This window comes from Homo sapiens, chromosome 18, assembly GCF_000001405.40.
Source record: "Homo sapiens chromosome 18, GRCh38.p14 Primary Assembly".
In the NCBI taxonomy this organism is placed as follows: Eukaryota; Metazoa; Chordata; class Mammalia; order Primates; family Hominidae; genus Homo; species Homo sapiens.
The window spans coordinates 79,790,506-79,817,723 of NC_000018.10; the positions used below are offsets into that span (position 1 = coordinate 79,790,506).

The window sequence follows — 27,218 nt, forward strand, 5'->3', positions numbered from 1 at the left end:
GCTGGCCCAGAGTGTCCAGGGTTTGGGAGTGGAGGAAGGAGGCAAGTCTTTTCCAGTTAGGGAGAAACCACACAGACCCTGAAACCCGGTCCCCACATGCAGACCCAAAACCCAGTCCCATCCCAGGAGGCTGGGCCACCACCGTTGTGGGTGCTGAGTCCCTTACTTTCTGCCTCACCCGTTCCACTGAGCCTCTTTCGCGCCACCCTCACTGTCATTTGCAGGAAACACCTGTTCTCTCCATGCACCTGCTCTGATGCACTGACTTGTTACCGGGAAGGTGGCTGCTTCCAAGGCAGGCCAAGATGCCTGCGGCTTGTTATTCGTCTGAGAATGGCTCCTTGCTCTAACGGGGTTTGAGGGACAGACGGGACTGCTTCCTTCCCTCCTTCCTTCCTTCCCTCCCTCCCTCTCTCCTCTCTCTCCCTCCCTGCCCCCCCCCTTCTCTCCCTCTCTCTCTCCCTCTCTGGTTTTCTCTCCCTCCCTCTCATTCTCTCTAGCACTTTCTCCCTCCATTCTCCCTCTGATTCTCCCTCTTTCTCAGTGCTGCCTCCTGCCTCTATGATCTGAACAAATTTTCTGTGGAGATCGAAGTTGGTAGGGGGCAGGGGGTGGCAGCCTGTGTTTTTGGTAGAATTTCAAGCACGTTTTACAGGAGGAGCTGACACTGTCGGGCCATTATCTTTCCTGAGCAATGACAGCAGCACCTCCTGGCCTTGGGTCTTATCATCATATTGTTCCCGAGTGTGGCTTTCAATGCAGCTAATTACATAGGTTGTTGTTTTCTTCCACAGAGTTTTCCAGCCTCTCCAGGGCAGAGGCTGTGTCTGGTGAATGTCCAGGCACTGCAGCGCCTGGCACACGGCACTGGGTAGGTGCTTAACACAACATGTGAACAAATATTTATTGAACTACATAAAGGTAAACCACTCCATTCACAGAAGAGAAATATCTCTGTTGAGAATGTCATGGATGCCACGTAATTGGGGAGCAAAAGGAAGCCCCAGTCACCCACAACCTTTCACAGCACACGGTGCAGGGCTGGACAGTGCAAATAACTTACAGGGGTTTCCTCATCAAATCCAAGGCCATTTCCCAGAACTGTGACAGTAGTGAAATGGAATGTTACATTCACAGCACAAAATTGACAGAGACAGAAAGGACGTCTGCATTCCACTGTGGGTTTAAATGAAACGGTGAGATGCTCGGAGGAAGCGCCGGCTGCTTGCTGCATCAGGAACGTTTCGTAATAGCAAAGGCACTATCGGGAAGCGTTACGTAAGCTGTCCATTAAGGACACTGATTAGGAACGTTCAGAAATATGAAAACCGCATAGCATTGTTTGCTGGCCTCAACCACATGCAGCTTGCTTTCAGCAAGAGGGAAGGAAGTGATCACAGAAGGTGCAGGTCACTGCTGGGATGCCCCCTGGGCTGAGATAACTGAACGTATGAAACTGCTCCCTTGCCAACAGCTCGGTAAGAACGCAAGTGCTCGCGTTACAAAAGAATTTGGCATGAAGAGCTGTTCGTCAGAGAGCCCACCAGAGTCGTGTATACGTTTGAATCCACTTCCAACGTTTTAATTTACACAAATTTCAGGAGCACACTATTAGCCGAGTGGAAGGTGGTCTTATCCTCTGCACCACACGTGGGTCCGAGACCCCAGAGCACAGTCGTCTCCCTCGCCAAGAATGCACTCGGCAGCCAGGGACTCGCAGAGTGAACGTGTGCGGGTTTCAGTGGACCGCTTCCCATCTGGAGCTCAAGTTAAGATGAGGAAGTAGAATCACAGTAAATGAGGAGTTAGGGAATTTAGGGTAGAGATTAAAGTAATGAACAGAGGAGGAGGCCTGAGACAGCTGCAGAGAGACCCTGTGTTCCCTGTGAGGTGAAGCGTCTGCTGTCAAAGCCGGTTGGCGCTGAGAAGAGGTACCGGGGGCAGCACCCGCCTCCTGGGAGAGGGATGGGCCTGCGGGCACCTGGGGGAACCGCACGGACACAGACGACACTATAAACGCGGGCGAGACATCAGGGACCGGGAAACAGAAGGACGCGCGTTTCGAGCAGCTGCCCAGTGGGCCACAAGCCCCGCCACGCCACAGCCTCTTCCCCTCAGCACGCAGAGAGGGAGGCTGCAGATGCCAGAAACGGGCCCCTGTCTCCCATGAACAAGAAACAGAAAAAAAGGAAGAGAGCAGAGAGCCAGGCAGATGTTCAGGAGAATGAACGTGTCCGAAAGACAGACAGAAGCCCGGGGACTGACGTCCGTGGGAGCTCCTCCCGCACTGCAGAAGGTGAGTTCCTGGGTCCCCTCAGTACCACGCACGGGGAAGGCAGCGGGCGGAGGTCGGGAGGGCTGAGGGACACAGGTTTCTCGGTGGGGTGGTGAAAATGCTTTAAAATGGATGTAGCAACGGCTGCACGCGCTGAATAAACTGAAAACCACTGAATGGTGCAACTTAAATGGGTGACTTGTATGGTGTCAATCCTATCTCGGAAAAGCTGCAGAATATATCATCTTATTTTGAAAATCAGCCAAGATATGAAAATTATAGTAAATGTCTAGAAGAAAATGACTAATTTGGAAAATACTAGTAAAGAAAGTAATTTGACATCTAAGTTTATGACAGTACCACCCACTTCCTCATTTCCACCTTCAGTGAACACTTGCGGACAGCATGCTTCAGAGCCCGGCCCATGCCAAGGCCCAAGGACACAGATAAGAAGGTGCCCCTGCCCAAGAGGCTTAGCACCCAAGACAGATAAGCCAGTGGACACAGAGGCTTGCTATTCGTTTTCTTTTCTTCCTTTCTTTCCTTTTCTTTTTTCTTTTTAATTTTTTTCTTTTTTTTTTTGAGACAGGGTCTCTCTCTGTCACCCAGGATGATGTCCAGTGGTGTAATCACAGCTCACTGTAGCCTCCAACTCCTGGGGCTTAAGTGATCCTCCCACCTCAACCTCCCAAGTAGCTAATATTACAGGGATGTGCCATCACATTCAGCCAATTTTTCAATTTTTTTTTTTGTAGTGACAGAGTTGTGCTATATTGCCCAGGTTGGTCTTGAAATCCTGGGCTCAAACAATCCTCCTGCTTCAGCCTCCCAAAATGCTGGGATTACAAGAAGGAGTCACTGTGCCTAGTCTATTTTTTTGAAGAAATAAAATTTCAATTGTAATGTTCACACCAAGGATTTTCCTCTAATAATACATTGGTTGGGATTCAGCAATGTCACCACAGTCAAGAAAGTGGGTCAAGATTTGTCTGTGAAGATGTTTATGGCAGAGTATTTTAAGATAGTTGAAAATTGGAGAAAACATCAATGTCAAATAATAGAGTTTCAGTTAAAGTGTGGCAGCATCCCCAGGATGGAGATCTATTTAAAATGGTGTTGGAAAAAATGAAAAGTGTGTATTTCCTTTTGTGCAGTGTGTATACCCTGCCCAGTGTATATTTATGATGCGATTTTTGTATAATAAACCAAAATTTATTTTTACATAAAAAATGACCAAAGTAGGCCAGGCACAGTGGCTCATACCTGTAAGCCAGCAGTTTGGGAAGCTAAGGCAGAAGGATTGCTTGGGCCTAGGAGTTCAAGACCAGCCTGGGCAACATAGTGAGACTGTGTCTCCCCCAAAACTAACAAAACTCTCTGAGTGTGGTGGCACACCTGTGGTCCCAGCTAGTCAGGAGGCTGAGGTGGCAGGATCACTTGAACCCAGGAGGTGCTATGATCGTACCATTGCACTCTAGCCTGGGCCACAGAACAAGACCCTGTCTCAGAAAACAAAAACAAAAACAAAAACAACAAAAAAAGAGACCAAAGTGTTTCAGTGCCAAAATGTTAACAGGGATAAGTTTGGATGATGAAGATGGGAGTTAGAAGTGATTTATTATTTTCTTATTTGTGTTTTTCACAAAAAGTTCACACATTTTCTACAATGAGCATGCGTTACAGACAAAAAACATCTTAAAGTGTTTGTTCCTTTCCTAAAAGAGAAGCTACAGGAAGGTGCAGGCGCGTCACCTGGGACCTGTGCCTCTGGGATGACCACAGTACAAGAGTGTGTGTGTGAGCGTGCACGTGTGTATGAGTGTGTCCATGTGTGCCTGGATGAATGTGGGTATGAGTGTGTGGATGCATGTGCATGACTGTGGCAGTGTGTGAGTTGCACGGATTGCCAATGTGAGTGTGCACCTGTGTGAGTGTGATTGTGAGTGTGACAGTGAGTGTGTGATTTAGAAAGGGGAGTCATGAGCATGAACGGGAGCGAGTCCCACCCTCTGTGGCCCTGTCCCCGCATCCTTGTATCCTTGAAGCCCATCACCAGTGCTTGCTTAGGACATCACAGTGCAGGGGTCCTGGGACCTGAGCATCTGGAAGGCCCAGCACCCTCAGTGTCTGCCTAAGTCTGCTGTCAACAACAATCAGAAGAAAGGGAACACGTGAAACATCCAAAGTTCAGAGATGGAGCAACAGGAACCATGAACAGGAAGGAGACGCACACGGTGAGGAACGCTGCGGCTTAGGGAGAGGAGAAGAGCACAGAGACGAGTTACGAGGAACACGCACGAGGCCCCGTCCCAGAGACATGGGACCAGTTTACAAGATGACAGCGGGAGGGAAACACATGCGAGGCCTGTCCACATCTGAGAGACACGGGACCGATTTACGGGATCACAGAGGGAGGGAAACACACTTGAGGCCTGTCCACGTCTGAGAGACATGGGACCGATTTACGGGATCACAGGAGGAGAAAAACACACACGAGGCCTGCCCACATCCGAGAGACACGGGACCGATTTACAGGATCACAGGGGGAGAAAAACACACTTGAGGCCTGTCCACATCTGAGAGACACAGGACTGATTTACGGGATCAGAGAGGGAGAGAAACACACTTGAGGCCTGTCCACGTCTGAGAGACACGGGACCAATTTACGGGATCACAGGGGGAGAAAAACACACACGAGGCCTGCCCACGTCCGAGAGACACGGGACCGATTTACGGGATCACAGGGGGAGAAAAACACACACGAGGCCTGCCCACGTCCGAGAGACACGGGACCGATTTACAGGATCACAGGGAGAAGGAAATGGGTTGTACAAATCGCCTGTCAAGGGACGTGTTTCATCCGCATGCTGTGCAGGTGTGAACTGCCCTTGGGCAGGATGCCGCACTGCGTCCTCGCTGTAAGTTCAAGGTCCCATTTTCAAGACTCAGTTTGCAGATGTGTTCAGTGTTTCAGCATTCTGGAAACATTCCAGATTGTGACAGGTTTTGCAAGCACCTAAAACAATGATGATCATTGTTTGTCTGTTTGCCGTGAGCCAGACATGTCCTAGCGTTGTCTCATTTAATTAGTAAAACAGCGAAGTGCGTTCTGCTATTATAGACAAGGAAACTGAGGCACCACGCGTTAGGACCTCGGTCCAGGGTACACAGACCTTCCCCACTCCAGGCTGACGGGGTTCATGCAGCACCACCACCCCCCCAGATTGGTGAACGTTAGCCAATACTAAAAAAAACTTATTAAACAGACCACATTATTTGTTGTCTTTTTTGTGTGATATTGGCAGGTTTACTAGTTCAGATGCCTGATTCATTGTATTTTGATTTCTGAAAGTCTCCACTGACATCCTCCCAAACAAAATGGGAAATGAATCAGCAGGGTGGGCGTGGAGTCGCAGCTGGCGTCCAGGCAGTGCTCGGGGGCCTGGGCTTGCCGGTGTGACCCCTTTTTTTGGAAACATGAATTATGCTGATGACTTGGATGGCCCAGCTCGACTGAGCAGTTGTCCAATGGCTTCAGATGAGAAGGAAGCTAATAAGCTGCATAACAGAATTAAGATTCTGAAACATCTGACAAGGCTCATGAAAAAGTTTAACCTAATAAAAACTACCGAAATAAAATGTACTAGGGACAAATTGTAATATACAAAACCTAGACTTTTAAAGAATCAAGTAACTGAAAATCATGGGGGAAAAAACCCAACAACTGCACAGACCTAGAGCTTTGACTAGCAAGCCAGGGCTGTCTGAAACGTGATGTGGTGCCTGGAAAGGCTGGTGAGCATTTTGGTTGGATCAGTAGATATAGAGTCTGCAAAAGGGAGGTGATGGGCTGACTGCACTCTGCACGGTCACAGCCACCAGAGACTGGGTCAAGGTGCAGGGTCTGAAAGAGGCAGCCAGGGCTGAACTGGACCAAGAAGAACAGACCGAGGTCAGAGAATGCACAGCCTGAGAAACCCTTCAGACCCCCACGTCCAAACCACCAGCTGTAGGGCAACCCCTGCGTTCCAGCACAGACAGCGCAATCTGAGTTATCTCGTTTACTTTTCTAATGAGTGTATTTAACAGGGGCTTCTGAGATAAAGGGGTCCTGGCTGCTTCTGCCTCCTGCAGCTGCAAACGTCCACTGGATCCCCAGGGCAATGTCCCCAGGGGCAGATCTGTTCAGCCTCAAAGGCCTCCGCTAACCACCAGCTGCCCCCCCAAAAAGCAGCCTCTGCCCTTTCAGAGGCAGCAGTGCAGGCACCTCCTGCTCTGAATCCGGTAGATGTTTCCATGGAGAAGAGCCTCCCTTCCAAGACCTGGTGCTCCGGCTGGAGCTGGAGAGGAACATTTCCTTTTTGTGGATGCAAATGAGAAACATCCACTCACTAGAGGCTCCGCTGCGGCTCCAGGATCCATCCCACAGAAGCGTCCGGAGTCCTCACAGCTGGCGTCTCCTGGGGATCCGCTCAACGAGAAGTGCCTTGGCTGTTGACTGAAAACCCACAGTCCTGTCCTTCCAGAGTCTTGGGCCGGGTTCCTCGTCTCTTCCCCTGTACCCCAAAGGCTGCTTTGGAGTGGTCACAGCAGGCAGGAGGCAGCCCGTGCCTCTGGAATGACATTGAGAGTGTTTGTGTGTGAGTGTGCATGCGTGTGTGTATGAGTGTATCCATGTGTGCCTGGATGAATGTGGTTATGAGCGTGTGTATGCATGTACGTGAGTATGAATGACTGGGGTTATGAGAGTATGTGAGTGTGCACCTGTGTGTGATTATGTGTGGCAGTGAGCGTGTGAGTTGCACGGATTGCCGATGTGTGTGCACCTGTGTGTGTGATTATGAGTGTGGCAGTGAGCGTATGAGTTGCACAGATTGCCGATGTGAGTGTGCACCTGTGTGAGTGTGAGCGTGTGTGCCCCTGCCAGGGCGTGCGCTGGTGGGGGCGGTGTGCAGAGTGGGGCCTGGGCCTCCTGCCCCCAAGGGCAGCTGGGTGGGCTCCGTGCTCCCTCCGAGTGGACTTGGCCCCGGCTCCAAACCCAGCCGAGGGTCGGCTCGCTCCTGGGGACCCGCGGATGTCGCGAGGGGGCGCCGCGCCACTGAAGGCTGGGACGGGGGCGGTGCGCGGGGCGGCGCCGGAGTCCGGGATGCCGGCTCCAGAGACGCCGCGCTCCGCCCCGAGGAGGCCGCCGGCCGGGTAAGCGGAGCCCGGAGCTCGCGGAGTCTGGACCGCAGGTAAAGTTGAGCGCGCCGTGGGGCCGGGGGTGGGGGGTCCGCGGCGAAGGAGCCGGGGCCGCAGTGGGCGGTGGGGCGGGGGGCGCGGGCTCCTGTCTGATGGTTCCGCGCGCAGCTTCTTCTCCGGGTGCGCGGTGCGCGCGGGCGCGGGAGGGTCGAAGGGGACCTTGGAATCCCCCTGTTCGGGCCAAGGGGGCGGGGGCGGCTCGGGGCCGGGCGGGGCTGGTGCCTCCCCCTCCCGCTCAGCGCCCAGAGTCCGGGAGTCGAGGGGGGCGTCGGGCCGGAGGCGCTCGCCGGTCTGGCCGCGCCGCGCGCGTGGATGGAGGTCTCGGCCGCGGATCGCCCCGTCTATTCGCGCTGGTCCTGCGGGAGCCCGGGTGAGCCGAAGGCGAGGAAGGGGCGCGGGTCTCGGGAAAACCCGACTCTCCCGGCGCCCGCCCCGGTTCGGTTGGGGGCGCACCCGGCTCGCGCGGAGAGCGGGCGGGGTGTGGGCGAATGCTCGGCGCGCTGCGCCTTTCCCGGTCCCCCTTCTCCCCGGAGATGAACGCCCCACTCCCGCTCGGACACACGGCCGCACCCCTACTCTGCCTCCTCCGACCAGCCGGGGCGCGGCCCGAATTGGGGGAGAGAAGACCCAGCTCCCGCAGCCGCGAATTCTGCAAACCCGGAGCCCATGCGCCCCGTCCTCCGGCCCGGGGAGCTCCCAGCCTTGCCCGCCGAGCGCAGCCCGGGTCCGGACTGTGGTCACTGGGGACGAGAAGGGTCCCTCCTGCGGGGCTCCCGGGTTCGGATGGACGGAGGGGGCGTCCGGCAGGTGAACTGGGCCCGCTCCGCGTCCCGAACGTTCCCCTAAACCCACAAGTCCCGGAGACCCTGGGGCATTCTGCGATTTCGGAGTGACCGGTGGAGCCCCCGCCCGCGCGCCTGGCTCCCGGGGTCTCCCCACACAGCAGGGGCTGCGGGGACCCCCTCTGTCACCTCCTCCAAAGGGTCTGGGAGCAATTCGACCTGCCTGGAGAATTCCAGGAAGTCCTTTCCCTGCGGGAGCCTCATGGGTCCCCCCTTCTCTGCCTGCAGAGACCTCTGGCTTCCGCGTGCGCTCAAAGTGAGCGCCGGGCAGATTGTAAATAATGGATTTTGACCCAGCTGGGAGATCTCAGAGTGATTAAGTGGAGAGGCTGTTCCACCCTCAGCCCTGCCCAGGCAGCTGGGTGACCCCGCGGGCCACATGCCACAGGGGCACGGACTCAGCCCTGAGTGGTTTTCGTTCTGCTGAGAGTCCAGGAGGCTTCCCGAGACCCCAAGCAGAACCGCGGAAGAGGGGACCCTCCTCCCCCACCCCTGTTCTCTGGGATGGTGCAGGGTACACAGCTGGCCTCTGAAGGTTCTTCCTTAGGAATTCCTAGTTAGAGGGATGGGATTGCCGGGCTTTCTTAGGGAATTTGGGGGGCATTGTGGTACATTCTGGGGATGAGGTCACCTTAGATGTCACATTCTCGGGACTATCCACTGTTGCCACAAAGGGTTGCTGTGTCCGCATCTTCCCTGGGGAGAGGTGACAAAAACAACTTCCAGGTCTGTCCAAGGCCAGTGCCAGTTGTTAGATTCCACTTTGCAAAAGTGTGTTTTAAATGTTGAGATTTCGATAATTTAAGGGAAAAATTGGTGTTTTTGTAGGCATGAGAAGAAAAGGAGGGAAGTGAGTTCTCAGCTGCCACAGGCAGGAGGCTGCTCAGCTTTCCCTTTTCAGCGCCTGGCTGAGCCCTGCTTGTGCCAGGCGCACAGGAAGTGTGTGGGGGGCGGGTGGCCGAGCTATGATTCGGGGTTTCTGCCCAGCGTGCGGCTGGGGCTGCATGGCTGTAGTCACAGGTGCAGGTGCCTCCACTCATGGGTCATGCTGGTAGGAACAGGCCGGTCAGAAACGATAGCGTGCTGGGTTTTGCCCTGGTGAAAAGCAGGTGCTTGGGTTCTGAATGTCTCGGGAGGATCTGCGCAGCTTTGTTGTTCTTTTGTCTGATGGTTGGGGGCTGCTTTTCTGGAAGAAGTGGGTCTCAGGCAGGCACCTGGAGGGCAGCGCGAACGGAGGGCTGTTTGTCGTGGGAGGCGCGTCTCTCTGCAGCCCTGGCAGGCGTGGGGGCGGGAGTGAAGGGAGCAGATGGGGCTGTGCCGACAGGCATGAGCTCTGGGGGCCGGGAGGGGTGGTAGGGCCTGCAGGACGAGGACACGCAGGGCATCCAGGGACGGCCACCTGTGTCTGAGTACTGCGCGCCTGTCCACGGATGGGTAATTTTGTAATGAATGGGGATATCTTAGGGCTAACGCTTGGTCAGGGATGTTCTTGGTGGTAAGGAAAGGAGCCATGGGGCCCTTGCTGCCAGTGAGGTCGCTCAGACACAAACGGGTGCTGCCATCAGGTAGCCCAGCCGGTAGGCATGAGTCCAACGAGGGCGGGCATTGACCGAGGTAGTTTAAGACCCCCTTCCTCAGATGAGGCTTGGGAGGCAGGATCTCGGCCCCCTAAACCGGCTGAATCAGAGCCTGCCTCTGACGAGACATGTACCCCGCCTTCCCGTGTGGGAGGCACTCAGGGTCCTTGCTGGTGTCGGAGAAACAGCACTGGCTCCTTCACAGCCGCGGCTTTCCGGCAGGAGCCTCAGCAGTTCCTTCCCCGGGCGGGCGGCGCTGAGCAGACGGGAGGTGGGCTGGTGCCTATGGTTGCAGTCGGCCTGGCGTGTCCTGCGGGCACCCGCAGGCTCTGCTCACCCACCGGCTGGTTTGTAGGGACAGGTCTGCTTGGGGAACCACAGCGAGGGGCACCCGAAGCAAATGTCAAGTCAAAATGGGTCCCCGGCGGGGCCAGGAGAACACCCAGACTCATGGAATTGCTAACAGAAATCTTATCAACAGCAGGTTCAGCCTTTTCACGTGATGGGAGACCATGCCAGGCAGCTGCCAACAGTCTGGCCACGAGGAGCTCCGTGCTGTTGAGGCACTGTGAACTATCAGACAGCCTCCCTCTGCAGACAGCCATGCGGATGTCCGGGGCGGCCAAGAGATGCCGGGCAGGGCTTTAACTGCTGGTCTCTGATCCCCGCCACGTCAGATGAGAGGGTTGAACTGAATGATGACGCCCTGACCTGTGTCAAAATCAGTAATACATTCCCTCAAAAAGAAACCATGCAGTATTTTAATTTGATTATGAGTTTAGAAAAAGGCTAATTGAAATGTAATATAAAAATAGCGCAGAAGACCTTTATGTTGCCTTTGTCAATTAAGGAAGCTGAGACTGTGTGAGAACCGGTACCTGTGAAGGCCTCAGGCCTCGCCAGCTCTGCGTCCTCCTCCCCCGAGGGGATCCTCACATCTCTTAGTCCAGCAGGTCCAGGTCCTCCATCCCTGCTGGGTTTCCTCAGCCGGGGCCTGTGGAGGGGCCACACCTGCCCCGCACTGCCCACCCTTCACCCAGGCCCGGCAAGGAGGGGACGCACATGCTGGGCCCGGGAGCCCTCCGAGGCAGTTCCCAGAGTTTAATGGCCTTCTGGATATTTTTAACCTTCTCAGATAGTTAAGCGATGGAGTTTAAATCTTATATTAGACGTGAGTAGTAAGCACATGAAATCAAAGGCTAGAATTATGGGGCCCAGTGTAGCTTCAGAAACCTTCAGGCTGATCTGAATGTGGCAGCAGTTTTTACTAAATTCCAGCCCGAAGAGGCAAATGTATTCTTGCATAGGATTAGTGCAGTGGCAAAGGCTGTGTGGTCCTAGTTGTTCCTGGCTGAGCTCCTGGGTGCGGCACACAGAGGGGCTCCTGTGCCCCCAGCAGGGTGCTCTCACCCGTGTCCCCGCCCTCGCATGGAGGGATTCATTGCCCGCGTTTCTCATCACACTCATCACCTGGTTAATGGGAAGCCACTTAGCCAGGGACTCTGGGGACCCCTTCGCCAGGGGTCCCAGGTGGTGGGTCAGGGTGGGCCTGGAATTGATTCTTAGCACATATCCTACATGACGTTCATCTCTGAGAAGTTTTGGAAATGGTGATTTGTGGATGTGACTTGCGTTTTCATAGTGAGATGGAATAGACAGAAAATATGAGCATTTCATACACTGTGCAGTTAGTTTTGTGTGTTCCTGGTCACAGCATAAAATATTTTTCTCACTGTGGGTTTTAAAATCATGGAAAGAGCTGCCCAAATACAGACAGCTAAAGGGATCCTTTCACCTTTTCTCTACGGTTTAGAAATGTTCAAAAAGCACTTAGAAGACCAGGTGGACGCGGCTCATGGAGGGGCGTCTGGGGACCCTGGAGCAGTGAAGGTCGGCTCTCCCAGCCGTGCCGCTCCGGTCCGGAGAGCCTGGCCTCAACACCTGTCCCAGCCGTGCTGCTCTGGTCCGGAGAGCCTGGCCTTGACACCTGTCCCAGCCGTGCCGCTCCGGTCCGGAGAGCCTGGCCTCGACATCTGTCCCAGCCCGGCCGCTGCAGCATCGGCCCTAGTGGGGAAGGTCTGGCTGTAACTTCTTCACCCACAGCTAAGCAGACACTTGGCTGGCTCCCCTGCCTTCCTTCTCCAGCTCAGGTTCACACCCCAAGGACACCCTTCCTGGCACTGACCCCTGTGTGCACACCTGAGCCACCCCCAACCTGGCAGATAACAGATTCTGAGCGTACAGTGGTTCTAGCGTGCATCTGTTACAGCTGGGAGGAGAGTTCCTGGCTTTTTTTTTTTTCCTGTTCTTTTGGAGGGGATGTCTTTGTGTGCAGATTAACAGGAAAAAATTCTATGACAAGTTTTATATCGGTACATTTTATTTAACATCATAGCAATTGATGCAATGGAGTGAAAATGCTTTGATGAAATAAAATGCATTAAAAGTTAACGCTTGGCTGGGTGCGGTGGCTCACGCCTGTAATCCCAGCATTTTGGGAGGCTGAGGCGGGCAGATCACCTGAGGTCAGGAGTTTCAGACCAGCCTGGTCAACATGGTGAAACCTCATCTCTACTAAAACACAAAAATTAGCCGGGCATGGTGGCAGGCACCTGTAATTCCAGCTGCTTGGGAGGCTGAGGCAGGAGAATCGCTTGAACCCGGAAGGCGGAGCTTGCAGTGAGCCGAGATCGCGCCACTGCACTCCAGCCTGGGTGACAGAGCAAGACTCTGTCTCAAAAAAAAAATAGTTAACACTCATGAGATTGCCTGATCACCTCTGTAGTCACAGGGCAGGGCCAGCCCCCTCATCTCCAGGCCCCCAGCTCTTTCACCTCTGTAGTCACAGGGCAGGGCCAGCCCCCTCACCTCTAGGCCTCCAGTTCTTCTTCCCGGAGGTTCACAGCCACTTCAAGATGACAGTTTCTGACTGTGAACAAATTTCCTTGATTTAATTTTCCCTTGTTTTCTGCCAAAAGAAAAGACATCTTCTAGAAGAGGGAAGATAGGAAATATGTATCATTGGCTTCTTTAATACTTGCCAAATTAGAAACGGAAACATTCTAGGGTGAAGAAAACAGTGGCTAGGCGTGGGTGTGCAGTGCTGGGGACCGACGAGGGGGCCTGTGATTCTGGGGGCTCCGATCGTGTTTCTTCCCTGAGAACCTGCAGGGCTGGCCGTGATTCTCACCACTTGTGGTCCAAGGCTTCTGCTGGGCTGACGGAGGAGGCGTTTTCTCCCATCCCGCCCCAGCAGGGAGCCTGCCCTCCTGTCCAGGAGCCCTCACAGCTCAGCCGGGGCCCTCCTGCGTCTCCCGACCACAGGCCCCAGTCCCGGCCAAGGTTCCAGGATGCCAGCAGGTGCCTGAGACTGGGCTGCCTCCAAGTTTCTCCTCACTGTGATGGCCCCGGGGCCATGCTGAGGCCTCCGTGTTGGTTTCTCCGGGGTTGGTGCCGGTGGATCAGAATCTTAGGCCTGGCCTGGCCGTGTCACTCCTATCTCACCTTCAGGGAGCTCTAGCCTGCAGCAGGCCCGTCCTTTGCTGGTGGCAGATTATTCCTCAACATGGGGATCTTGTTCCTTATAAAAGTGCTGCATGGCACTGAATGCCTCCAGACCTGGGAGCACGATCATGGGGTGGCCAGAGCACCTGCCACCTCGGGGTCTGTGCCATTCTCTGTACCGAGGCCCCATGGAAAGGCACTGCTCAACCCCACCCTAAATCTGGCCACCTTCACTGCAGGCCTATGTGACCTGTTTCCCAAAGGCTACAAGAATAGGGCATTTGAGAGCGTGTTCTTCTTGCCCAGGCCGGAAGGCACCAGCCACAGCCGCTGGACCCTGGCCCTGCTGGACTCTGCCCGTCAGCACCCACTGATCACTGCATGGGGTATGCACACGGTGTGCTGAGCTCCTGCCGGCCGGTGCTGCACCAGGCTCCAGGGGGGACTCAGCACCCAGGCCACACACCTGGGACTCCTGGCTGGAGCCAGTGCTGCGTCAGAGGCCCAGGTCCTTCCCATGACAGGCTGTGGCTGTGGGGGGCCCTCCCATGGGTGCTCAGGTGCACCCGTGGCCGGTCCTGAGCCAAGGTGCAGAAACACACCCCAGCCCCAGAGCTGCTGACGCACCGCTGCTTCCTGGAGTCTGTGCTTCAGTCAAGTCTGGGCTGATGCTCTTTGATGTGAACCGTGGTTGTCGGCCTCTGAAGAAATCATTTCACACCAAAGGGAATGTGGCATCAAAAAGAAGCCAACAGTGAGCCCACGGGAACAAGTGGAGGGCCTCTTCAGGCTTCCAGGTACAACAAATGCAATTTAAAATGCCTTTTATTGCTTTTTCTCACATTCTAAAAGCAGTACACTTTTATCACAGAAGACTTGGAAATGAAAATTAAAAAGAAGTATAAATTACTTTTAAAAAATCTTGCGTAAGATTGCAACTGTCCAGAGGTAATAGCTGCTAATACATTAGGATAGTTTCAATGTGTATTTATAGAATGACCACACACACGCACACACACATACGGGTGAAGGCTCTCATACATGTTTGGGGTTATTTCACATCATATTATATTGAAAGCATCCTTTTGTTTGGATTTATCAAACTCTGTTTCTGTGTCCTCCTGTTATTGGCCATGTAGGTTGTTTCCAGTTTGTTGATGTTCCAAATACCACTGTCATGGACGTATTTGTAGATACATCTTTGAAGAAACTTTGCATATCGTCAAAAGTTAGAAACACTAAGGTCTTACACATTATGCCAGGTCGTTTCTCGGGAAAGCTGTGCCAGATGCATCCTTCTCATTCTCCGCCTCACCGCACTGCATTTCAGTGCTTTAACCTCTTCTCAATTTTCCAAATACATGGCTTTTTGCTGTAAAAGTGATACATGGTCATTAGGAAACACACGCGTGGCAGGAGGTGTAAGAGGAGGGCCTGCCGCGCACTCGGGATGAGGCCGGCACCTGCGGAGCTTCCTCCAGACTTGGGCCCTGCTGGCTGCACCCACACAAAAGTGCACTGGCTACAGGTCGAGTTTCTAGAAAACACTGCACTTGATGATGTCTGGCTAAGGCTGAATGTTTTTCTCCATTGCCTTTTTTTTTTCTTCTATCGTCTGTTTCTCAGTGATGATCTTAGTGGCTTCCTGTCTACTGTTTGTCACATTTCTCGCCTTCGGGTCTTCATTGTGGTCCTGGTGGCCATGTACCACCTGGCGCCCTGCAGGGCTGCAGCCTCTTCACCTGACGGCCTCATCCACCATGTGTGGTTGCAGGGCCAGAGGAAGTTAAATTAGCAGATGTTTCTGAGTGTGAGCTGGATTCTGTGCTGAGTTAGAGCTAGAAAAATGTCTCCACCTGCTAAAATCTAGAGTCTAGTTGTGGGGGAGGAGGAAATATAGACAGACGCAGGTCCACATGCACACACACACACACACGTGCACACACACGCGCCTAGGGGACAGGGCAGAGCCAAGAAAAAAGGAAAATGATGAGAGACTGGAGTGAAGGCCCCAGGGAGTGACAGGTGGATTGATCCAGCCAGGCCCGAGCTTGCATCTGTTCACACAGAGCTTTGGGACGTTAGGGTGACAGAGGAAGGAGGCGGCTGGGATAGCCCACACAGGTGGTGGGAGTCTGTCCTCTCCCTGCCAGGGTGCAGGACAGCAGGTCTCAATCTCGCCCAGTGGGACTCAGTGGTCCCTCATTCAAAGGGGCTGAGAGCCAGGCATCCAGCCCACGAAGCTCACATGGAAGCCACTGTGTGGTCTCAGGCAAGGCCGTCGTGCTGGGGGTTGGGGCGTGGGGCCATCAGCAAGCCCCTTGAGCGTTTGTGGTCTCAGGCAAGGCCGCTGTGTCGGGGGTCGGGGCATGGGGCCATCGGGAAGCCCCCTGAGCATTCATGGTCTCAGACAAGGCCGCTGTGTCAGGGTTTGGGGTGTGGGGCCATCAGCAAGCCCCCTGAGAGTTTGTAGTGGATGGTCTCATGGGTGTTTCTTGAACCGTGCTCTGCATGGCCTGCGACATGGTCTCACTGGTTGCTGGGGGCCCCTGAGTTATGGAAATTATTCTAGGATCCTTCAAATGCTTCAGTTAACTCCAGCCAGGCCTTGAGAAGAAAGCACTTTAGAATGAGAGGTTGTCTTTTATCTCTCAAATGATGGTTTTTAGAAAAAAATTGGTAAAATTAATACTTGCTAGGAGGAAGCATCAGAACATGGATTCTCTAACTCTTCCTTAGGGTGTTTTGATTTACTGATGAATTGGCCTCTTTCTCTCCTTTTTAGTGCATGAAGCTTTCCTTTTTAGACTGTAATGGTGACGCTTTCTCAAATAAAACCAGAACTAAGGGCTTCAAAACCACTCCACGCAAAATTAATAAAGAAGAAAATAACATTCTTTCCATTTCATTTCAAGGGCAGTTTTCAAAAATCTGCATTGACTTAAGGCTAGAAAGAGAAAATGCATACATGGAATTTTCTTTCCACCCTTACTCATGGATCTAGGGTCTGTGTGGGGTCTCAGATTTCCACCAGGGGCAAACTTCCTCATCTTTCTTCATGTTTAAATGTTAGAAATAGCCTGAAGCCTTGGGCTGCAGAGAGCTCAGGGGCACCTTTGAGCTGGACAGACCTCTGTGGAGGAGAAAACTGACCCCGGGAGGGTTTGGTCTGGCCAGCGAGGGTCAGCACCCACCTCAGCCTGCCTGCATCTGTCTGCACCTCAGGGTCACACATGCAGATGGACTGAGGGTTCCGAGTGGGTGGCTCAGGGATACTGGGAGCTCGTCGCGTAGTCTGATGTTTTTGCATGAAAGTGAGGTCCTCTGAGGGAGATGCACCGTCTGAGCCTGTTCGTGTTGGGGTGCCGCGAGCAAACCTCACGCCCTCCTCACCTTGCCGACGCTCTCTGCATCTGCCCCAGGACATAGATGATGAGCCTTTCTGCTCTACCGTAAACACCCGAGCACCCAGCGCCCTCACAAGAGAAGCAAGCGCTCAGTGACCACCTCAGCGGCGCGGACTGCTCTGACACGTCACCCCACCGGGATTTTTAGAACGCCTCTGCGCTCGTGCATTCACTCCATTTTACAGATGAGAAACTGGTGTGACTCCCATGTACGTGGCCCAGGCTCACTAATTCTCTCTTCTTAATGCTCTCACGCCTGGGCCAGCCCTTCCTCCCTCCCGCCGCAGCACACGCTGAAGAAACAAGTCCAGCTGTGAAGCCCCCACCTCAGCCTCGGCCCCAGAGTCCGCACTCTGAGAAGTTGCTCCGGCGCCACTGACGGGCACTCCATGTTATATGCCCAGAGTCCTCGCCCTGAGGAGCTGCCGGGGCCGCGCTGACCACACTCCACGTTATGGGCCCAGAGTCCGCGCTCTGAGGAGCTGCCGGGGCCGCGCTGACCACACTCCACGTTATGGGCCCAGAGTCCGCGCTCTGAGGAGCTGCCGGGGCCGCGCTGACCACACTCCACGTTATGGGCCCAGAGTCCTCGCCCTGAGGAGCTGCCGGGGCCGCGCTGACCACACTCCACGTTATGGGCCCAGAGTCCGCGCTCTGAGGAGCTGCCGGGGCCGCGCTGACCACACTCCACGTTACGGTCCCAGAGTCCTCGCCCTGAGGAGCTGCCGGGGCCGCGCTGACCACACTCCACGTTATGGGCCCAGAGTCCGCGCTCTGAGGAGCTGCCGGGGACACACTGACCACACTCCACGTTATGGGCCCAGAGTCCTCGCCCTGAGGAGCTGCCGGGGCCTCGCTGACCACACTCCACGTTATGGGCCCAGAGTCCGCGCTCTGAGAAGCTGCCGGGGACACACTGACCACACTCCACGTTATGGGCCCAGAGTCCGCGCTCTGAGGAGCTGCCGGGGCCTCGCTGACCACACTCCACGTTATGGGCCCAGAGTCCGCGCTCTGAGAAGCTGCCGGGGACACACTGACCACACTCCACGTTATGGGCCCAGAGTCCGCGCTCTGAGGAGCTGCCGGGGACACACTGACCACACTCCACGTTATGGGCCCAGAGTCCGCGCTCTGAGGAGCTGCCGGGGCCTCGCTGACCACACTCCACGTTATGGGCCCAGAGTCCGCGCTCTGAGGAGCTGCCGGGGACACACTGACCACACTCCACGTTATGGGCCCAGAGTCCGCGCTCTGAGGAGCTGCCGGGGCCTCGCTGACCACACTCCACGTTATGGGCCCAGAGTCCGCGCTCTGAGAAGCTGCCGGGGACACACTGACCACACTCCACGTTATGGGCCCAGAGTCCGCGCTCTGAGGAGCTGCCGGGGACACACTGACCACACTCCACGTTATGGGCCCAGAGTCCGCGCTCTGAGGAGCTGCCGGGGCCTCGCTGACCACACTCCACGTTATGGGCCCAGAGTCCGCGCTCTGAGGAGCTGCCGGGGACACACTGACCACACTCCACGTTATGGGCCCAGAGTCCGCGCTCTGAGAAGCTGCCAGGGACACACTGACCACACTCCACGTTATGGGCCCAGAGTCCGCGCTCTGAGGAGCTGCCGGGGCCTCGCTGACCACACTCCACGTTATGGGCCCAGAGTCCGCGCTCTGAGGAGCTGCCGGGGCCTCGCTGACCACACTCCACGTTATGGGCCCAGAGTCCGCGCTCTGAGGAGCTGCCGGGGCCTCGCTGACCACACTCCACGTTATGGGCCCAGAGTCCGCGCTCTGAGGAGCTGCCGGGGCCGCGCTGACCACACTCCACGTTATGGGCCCAGAGTCCGCGCTCTGAGGAGCTGCCGGGGCCGCGCTGACCACACTCCACGTTATGGGCCCAGAGTCCGCGCTCTGAGGAGCTGCCGGGGACACACTGACCACACTCCACGTTATGGGCCCAGAGTCCGCGCTCTGAGGAGCTGCCGGGGACACACTGACCACACTCCACGTTATGGGCCCAGAGTCCTCGCTCTGAGGAGCTGCCGGGGACACACTGACCACACTCCACGTTACGGTCCCAGAGTCCTCGCCCTGAGGAGCTGCCGGGGCCGCGCTGACCACACTCCACGTTATGGGCCCAGAGTCCGCGCTCTGAGGAGCTGCCGGGGCCGCGCTGACCACACTCCACGTTACCGGCCCAGAGTCCGCGCTCTGAGGAGCTGCCGGGGCCTCACTGACCACACTCCACGTTACGGTCCCAGAGTCCTCGCCCTGAGGAGCTGCCGGGGCCTCACTGACCACACCACGTTCCGGGTGCCCAGCGCACCTGCCGCTTATGCAGCTTTCGGTTCTAAACCTCGCTCCCCAGAAGGCAATCTTCACGCCCACTCAAGACGTACTTTTCGGATGCTGCAGCCCAGGCGTCCTACTGCACACTAGGAGCTGTGGTCACCTCGTCCAGAAAAAACAAGAATGTGGCCAAATGCCCGTGGCTGCCCTCTGCGTCTCCTTCATTGTTGCCGGTTTTAAAGCTTCTCCTCCCACTATCGTGACGCTCCAACTTTCCGGGGCTCATGGGGTTGTGGGGCTGGTGGGCGGAGTCCTGTGCTCATTGGCGTTTGGCTGTGGGTTCTGGTCTCAGCGCCGTCCACAGGGCCAGCCTCGCGGAGCCGCCCGCCCATTGCGCTGGGCCTGGGTGGAAGGGCCGATGAGGATGAAACCTCGAGGGAGCATCCCTCAGAACCTGTGTCAGCACCCAGCTGGGCTTCTCATGTGCAAAGGCAGAATCTGATTTAAAAGCCAGGGAAGATGGAGGCGGTGGGAGGGGGGAGTGGGTAATAGTCTAAAGGAAAAAAATCAGGTGAAAGGGACAAAAAGAGAAACTTGAAAAGGAAGCCTTGGAAAAGAGAGAAGAGAGGGTGGACAAAGAGGACCAAGATGAGACTGGAGAATTTCTGATCAGTGGGGAGGGGGGAAGCACCACGCCTAGTCCCGGAGGGGGTTTGCTGGGGGCTGCCCAGCACAGCTCTACAGGGCAGGCAAACCCAGCTTTGGTCCCATCTCATGTCAAATACTGATGCCGAGTGCTGGTGAGTAAAGGCAGGAAACGTAGAAATCAAAAATTAAAAAACAAAGTAGCCAGATGCAGTGGCTCATGCCTAGAATCCCAGCACTGTGGGAGGCTAAGGTGGAAAGATCACCTCAGAAATTTAAGACCAGCTTGGGGAACATAGCAAGACCCTGTCTCTAAAAAAAAAGAATTAACCAGGTGTGCTGGCACAGGCCTGTAGTTGCAGCTACTTGGGATGCTGAGGTGGGAGGATCACTTGAGCTCAGGAGTTTGAAGCTGCAGTGAGCTACAATCACACCATCACACTCCAGTCTGGGTGACAGAGTGAGATGCTGTATAAAAAGACAAAACAAACCAAAAAACGTAGAAAAAAACTAGAAGTAAATATATGCACAGTCTCTGAATGATGAGGACTGTCCAACCTTAGAAGCATGAGTCAGGCTCTTCTCAAAAACAAAAACAAACCAGAACTTAGAGTCAAACAATACTCAAAACTCAGCGTGTTGTTGTATACTAGCAATGAAAAACCTGGAAAGGAAATTAGGAAGACAATTTACTATAGCATCAAAAAGAGTAAAACCCCTAGCAAGAAATGTAACCAAAGAGGTGTAAGACTTGTATGCTGAGAACTACAGAACATTGCTGAAAGAAATTACAGACCTAAAGAAATGGAAAGACATCCCATGTTCACGGATAGGAAGACTTAACATTGTTAAGGTGGCAATACTCCCAAACTGATCTATAGATTCAATACAATTCCTATCAAAATCCTAGCTGACTTTTTGCAGAAATGGACAAGCTGATGCTAAAATTCATATGGAATTACAAGGGACCAAAGTAAGTGAAAAAAATCTTTAAAAAGAACAAAGTTGGAGTTCTCACACTATTTATTAAAACTTACTACAAAGCTACAGTAAGCAAAATAGTGTGGTATTGGCATAAGGAGAGACATATTGATCAATGGAATACAATTGCAATTCTAGAAATAAACCTATACATCTGTGGTCAGCTGACTTTTGATGAGAGTGCCAAGACCATGCAATGGAGAAAGAATAGTCTCTTCAGCAGATGGTGCTGGGACAACTGGATTCCACATACAAGAGAATAAATATCCAAAATGTCCATGATACAATAAAAAAAAGTCACTCACCAAGAACCAAGAAAACCAGAACATAAATGAAAAAAGACAATTAACAGACACCAACATCAAGCTGAATCAGATGTTGGTTTATATGACTACTATTTTAAAGTAGGCTTCACCAATCAACGATGGGTTTAAAATGCTTCACCAATCATGTATTTTCCTGAAACAAATGAAGGAATAGAAAATCTTAGCAAAGAAATGAAAGATATAAAAAAGAAAAAGATGAAATCACGTAACTGAAATATATAACAACAGTTTTTTAAACTCTGACTGCATGGGGTGAACAGTAAAGGGGAGATCACGCTGGATGGAATTAGTGAACCTGACCCACAGAAATTACCCAACATCAACAGAAGAGAGAAGAAAGACTGGAAAGCATGGGCAGAGAGTCACAGGGAGTTGTGTGACGATAACAAAAGTATTAATACTTGTATCATCAGGCCCCAGAAAGAGAGGAGAAAGAGTGGGGCTGAAAAAGTATTTGAAGAAAGAATGCCCCCAAAACCTCCCAGATTTGGCAAAAGACATAGATCTACAGATTCAGGAAGCAGAAAGACAACAGGAAAATCTCCAGATACTTGGAAATTAAATAACATGCCTTAAAATTATCTATGGGTCGAAGAGGAAGTCTCAAAGGGAAATTCGAAACACATAGAACTGAATGAAAGTGAAAATACAGCAGAGCAGCATATGTGAGATACGGTCGGAACAGTTCTTGGGGGAGGTTTATAACATCCAGTGCTTAGATTAGAAGAGACAAAAGGTCTCAAAGTAATATTAATAATATGTTACAAAATTGAATTAATTCTTAAAAAGTCCTGAAAAATCTCCAGACCTGGTGATTTTACTGGAAAATTCTACCAAATACTTAAAGAAGAATTCATTCTACCAAACATTCAAAGAAGAGAAGGGAACCCTTCCTCACTCAATGTGAGGTTTAATGAGGTCAGCCATACCTGGCGACCACATTAAACAAAGACATTACAAAAAAAGAAAACTAGAAAACTATAAGCCGGGCCTGGTGGCTCACGCCTGTAATCCCATCACTTTGGGAGGCCAAGACAGGCAGATCACTTGAGGCCCAGAGTTCAAGACCAAGCTGGCCAACATGGCAAAACCTCATCTTTACTAAAAATACAAAAATTAGCCAGGCGTGGTGGTGCGCACCTGTACTCCCAGCTACTCAGGAGGCTGAGGCGCGAGAATCACTTGAACCCAGGAGGCAGAGGTTGCACTGAGCCGAGATCGCACCACTGTAGTCCAGTCTGGGTGATAGAGCGAGACTCTGTCTCAAAAATAAGTAAATAGGCCAGGCACAGTGGCTCATGCCTGTAATTCCAGCACTTTGGGAGGCCAAGGAGGGCGGATCACGAGGTCAGGAGTTTGAGACCAGCCTGGCCAACATGGTGAAACCTCATCTCTCCTAAAAATACAAAATTAGCCGAGTGTGGTGGCGGGTGCCTGTAATCCCAGCTACTCACAAGGCTGAGGCAGGAGAATCGCTTGAACCCAGGAGGGGGAGGTTGCGGTGAGCCGAGATCGCGCCATTGGAATCCAGCCTGGGTGAGAGGGTGAGACTCCATCTTAAAATAAATGAATAAATAAATTTAAAAATAAAAAAAGAAAGCTATAGACCAGTATCTTTCACGAATTCACATGCAGAACCCTCAACAAAATATTAGGAAATTGAATCCAGCAATGAATAAAGTTGCTGCACCAAATGAGATTTAATCCAGGCACACAAGTCTGGTTCAACATTCTGAGTCAAACACTGTACTCCACCATATCAACAGAAGAGATATACAATCATATTAATTGATGCAGAAAAGCTTTTGACAAATCCAACATCTACTCACAATAAAAACTCCCAGAAAACTAGAATTAGATCCTCAATTTGATAAAGAACATCCACAAAAAATCCACATCTGAAGCCTTTTCAAGAAATGTTGTAGGTGCAGTTGGTCATCCATGGGTGGGGTAGCGTGGAGGGAGGATGGAGAAGCTTATCCTAAACCTTCCACCTGCTACACAAATCAACTAAAAGCAGATCACAGACTTAAATGTAAACATAAAACCATAAGAGTTCTAGAAAAGATAGGGGAAATTCACTGGGACACAGGGGTAGGCAAAGCCTTCTTAGACTTGACAACAAAGGTATAACCCATAAAAAGTAAACTTGATAAATTGGACCTCATCAAAATTAAAAACTGCCCTGCAAAAGACATTTTAAGAGCATGAAGCGTAAAACTACAGAATGGGAGAAAATATTTGCAAACCACGTATTCACTAAAGGACCAAAGTTTGGAATATATAAAGAACTCTCTAAATCACCGGTAAACAAATATTCAAAACATGTCCAGTTAGACATGTACAAGATGTGTGCACAGACCTTTCACTGTGGAAAACTCATGGAAGGCAGACAAGCAGGTGCAAAGACACCTAGCACCGTCAGCCTTTAGGGAAATGCAAATTAAAACCACTGTGCCCCTACACATCTACCAGAGTGGCTGAAATCAATAGAAAATATTGACAACACCGAATGCTGACAAAGATGCAGAGAAATGACCTTTCATGCCTTGCTGGGAATGTAAAATGGCTCAGCAACTCTAGGAAACAGTTTGGCTGTTTCTGATAAAACTAAACATGTCACTCCCGTATGACCCAGCAATTGTGATCTTGGGCATTTATCCCAGAGAAATGGAAAATATATTCACATAAAAACCTAGACACAAATTTTCATAATGTTATTACTAACAACCAAAAACTGGAATTGTCCCAGAGACCCTTCCACAGGTGATAGTTCGACGATCACACTTCTGTACTGCGGAATACTCTCAGTAGAAAGGGATGGGTTATCGGTACACACAGCAGCTTGGATGAATATCCAGGGAATTATGCTGTGTGAAGAAAGCCAGTCTCAAAATAATCAGACTCTGCCATTCCATTTGCACGGCATTCTTGAAAGGACAAGCTTATAGAGATGAGAGCAGATTAGGGGCTGCCAGGGTTTTACAGAGCTGGGAGGGGGTGGCAGGAGTGACACTGCCTGCGTGGGTCAGCATCAATCCTGGCGGTGAGATTGTACTGCAGTTTTGCAAGAGGCCACCATTGGCGGAAACTGGGTAAAGGGTACAGGGGATCCCTTTGTATTGTTTCTTGCAACTGCATGTTAATCTATTATTAATCTCAAAAGGTTTAATTCTAAAAATGTATATGTATATGCATAAAGGCTTAGTAGAAGTTCTGGGTAAATAAGTCACCTTAAAAGTAGTTACCTGTGGGGAGCGGATTTGTTTTGAAGGGGGAAGGGTGAGGATGGCCATGTGCTTTTACCCTGTGTGCTTTTTTTTTTTTTTACGATGAAAATACATTTATGTTTTAGTAGTGTAATTTCAAATATAAACAGATTAGGGTCAGGAAGTCTTCCCAGAGAAAATGAATTTAATATGCAAAAGGATGTTCTTTGCAGTATTCATGAACTAGCATGGAACTTTAGTATCAAAATAATGTCTGACAATAGGGAAATGTAAGTAAATTAAGATCCATCCTCAGGGTGAGGTATTACGCAGTTTCCACCAAAATGCTTATATCCAGGCACAGTGGCTCACGCCTGTAATCCTAACAATTTGGTAGGCAGAGGTGGTAGGATTGCTTGAACCCAGGAGTTCAAGATCAGCCTGGGCAACATAGTGAGATGCTCTCTCTACAAAAAAATAGAAAAAATTATCTGGGTGTGATAGCAGACACCTGTAGTCCAGTTACTTGGGAGGCTGAGGTGGGAGGATCACTTGAGCCTGGGAGGTCAGGGCTGCAGTGAGCCAAGATTGCACCACTGCACTCCAGTCCCAGGATGACAGAGTGAAACCCTGCCTCAAAAAAAAAAAAAAAAAAAAATCCTTTAATGGTTTATGAGAGTGTTGGGGAGTGTTCAGTGATGGCTTCTAGCGGAATCAAAGAAGAATCAAAACTTTATTTCTGCTGGATTCCTGAGGTCAGTGAAGGAACCACCGCTCAGCAAAGACGTGACCTCGCTCTAGAGCCCTGCGCCCAGCTGTCCCTGCCCACAGCACAAACCCCCAACTTCTCCACCTTGCTCCCTTGCTAAACCATTCTGTCTGGAGCAGATTTCCCGTGGGGAGGGAGAAAAGAGGGGCTGTTAGGAAAGGGGTCTGAGGAAGCCCTTCAGCGTGAGTGTCCTGTCCCCTGTCCCCTGCTCCCTGAAGCAGCTGTTCTAACCCAAGTCTGGGGCTCCCCGCTGGCCTGTGTGCCCCGATGGCACCCACCGCCCTGGAGCTGAGCTGCACTGCCACAGGGGGGTGGCAGCCAACACTGCTGAGCAAACACTGAATTTGGCCACCACGTAAAACTATGCAGAGACGAGAGGGAAAGACGTCCTGCAAAACGTATGGTGGCTGTTTCTGGTGGTGGGATTGGGTATTTTTTTCTTTGCTTTTATTGTACTGTCTGATTTTCCATTTTTCCACTAATTGGAACATTGCTTTTTATGCAGATGAACATCTAAGACTCGTTTAGACAAACTGATGTAGAGAAAAATAAGAAACATCAAAACATACCGTGCCCTGACCTGGGCTTTAATCCTCATGAGGCCACACTGTTCAGAATCGGCTGAGGGACTCTGTGGCATTTCGGGGTGTCCTTGCTGACAGGGTATTTGGTGGCCCCCAAGTTCCCTCCTCAGAGGTGGCAGCCGTGGGGGACCCTGCAGCAGCTGTAGTGGTGTGGGACTTGGTAGCGGGGTCCTGACGGCGGAGGACCCAGCACGTCTGTTCTCAGCGGAGCGGCTGCCCATCTCCCCCTCCCCTCCCCTCCCCTCCCCCTTCTCTGCCCTCTGGGGGCTCCGCTCTGGGTGGGGGTGGCACCCCAGCCCTGCACGGGCGCTCTTTTCCCTTTCCTGTATGCCTTGATGATTGTTAATAAAACTTCTTCAAAGTTGGTTTTCCAAATGTGGACGGTGTGGGAATGAGACATTTGAGTTATTCCAGCTCCCTGTTTTTCTTCCAGAAATGGATAATGGGCCCATTTCACATTGAATTAAAAGGCTATTAGGGCGTGCAAATGGTGTGAGCAACGTGTCATTTGCTGTTTCTCACAAATGTGAAATTTTCCTGGGACGATGTTCTCGCCGACCTGGCTGAGTGGCAGATCGGGAAACATTCGCTGTTTCCTGAGTGACACCACGGTGCAGTGTGGAGGGCCCAGTCTGGGGTTAGCAGAGAAAGAAACCGGGGACCAGACACAACAGGTCACAAATCCAGAAGTTACCGATTGTGTTACTGAGCAGAACCAGTGCCTTGAGGCTGTATGGAGGCGGCAGCAAAAGACGCAGCGGCCTCAGGTCCCTTTACATGGCCTGAAAGGCACGGCTGTCACATGGCTGTCACAAGGCTGCCACTCACATGCCTGTCACATGGTTGTCACACGGCTGCCACACGGTTGTCACGCAGCTGCCACATGGATGTTACACGGCTGTCATACAGCTGTCACACGGCTGCCACTCACATGCCTGTCACGTTTGTCACACGGCTGCCACATGGCTGTCACGCAGCTGCCACATGGATGTTACACGGCTGTCATACAGCTGTCACACGGCTGCCACTCACACATCTGTCACATGGTTGTCACACGGCTGCCACACGGCTGTCACACACCTGCCACATGGATGTTACACAGCTGTCATACAGCTGTCACACGGCTGCCACTCACATGCCTGCCTCACGGCTGCCACATGGCCGCCACTCACATGCCTGTCACATGGTTGTCACATGGATGTCACACACAGTTGTCATGCCTGGCTGTCACACATGGTTGTCACGTTATCAGATGTGCTTGTCAGACACAGTGTCACATGGCTGTCACATGGTTGTCACACCCGTTACACCCATGGTTGTCACACACGTGTCACACACAGTTCTCACACACACAGTTGCTGCACATGATTATCACATACATGTGGTTGTCATGTGGTTTGCACATGGTTTGCACACACAGTTCTCACACAGATGGTTGTCACACCTGGCTGTCACACACGCGGGTTGTCACATGCATGTCACACACAGCTGTACTCTTGTCCCTGAGGGCACAGTCAGTGGAGGGGCAGCAGGCCCCATTCTGCCCTCCCTCCACACCTCCCACCT

The 27,218-nt window shown here is 52.4% G+C and overlaps 1 protein-coding gene across 1 annotated transcript in view, besides 5 other annotated features; it reads left to right on the forward strand.

Moving 5' to 3' along the window:
- Positions 6,716–7,312: an enhancer, noted in NCBI's record as "H3K4me1 hESC enhancer chr18:77557221-77557817 (GRCh37/hg19 assembly coordinates)". NCBI's record gives its function as "activates a minimal SCP1, AML or CMV promoter by ChIP-STARR-seq in naive H9 embryonic stem cells {active_cell/tissue: H9 hESC(naive)}" and the evidence as "EXISTENCE:reporter gene assay evidence [ECO:0000049][PMID:30033119]".
- Positions 6,716–7,483: a biological region, named in NCBI's record as "H3K4me1 hESC enhancer GRCh37_chr18:77557221-77557817".
- Positions 7,244–7,483: a silencer, noted in NCBI's record as "silent region_9577". NCBI's record gives its function as "represses an Ori minimal core promoter by ATAC-STARR-seq in GM12878 lymphoblastoid cells {active_cell/tissue: GM12878}" and the evidence as "EXISTENCE:reporter gene assay evidence [ECO:0000049][PMID:35858748]".
- KCNG2 (potassium voltage-gated channel modifier subfamily G member 2) overlaps positions 7,433–27,218 on the forward strand; it is a 102,163-nt gene continuing 82,377 nt past the window's right edge. The window contains exon 1 of the mRNA NM_012283.2: positions 7,433–7,509. The gene's annotated coding sequence lies outside the window, so the exon portion shown is untranslated. The remainder of the gene's footprint in view (positions 7,510–27,218) is intronic.
- Positions 26,014–26,515: an enhancer, noted in NCBI's record as "H3K4me1 hESC enhancer chr18:77576519-77577020 (GRCh37/hg19 assembly coordinates)". NCBI's record gives its function as "activates a minimal SCP1, AML or CMV promoter by ChIP-STARR-seq in naive H9 embryonic stem cells {active_cell/tissue: H9 hESC(naive)}" and the evidence as "EXISTENCE:reporter gene assay evidence [ECO:0000049][PMID:30033119]".
- Positions 26,516–27,015: an enhancer, noted in NCBI's record as "H3K4me1 hESC enhancer chr18:77577021-77577520 (GRCh37/hg19 assembly coordinates)". NCBI's record gives its function as "activates a minimal SCP1, AML or CMV promoter by ChIP-STARR-seq in naive H9 embryonic stem cells {active_cell/tissue: H9 hESC(naive)}" and the evidence as "EXISTENCE:reporter gene assay evidence [ECO:0000049][PMID:30033119]".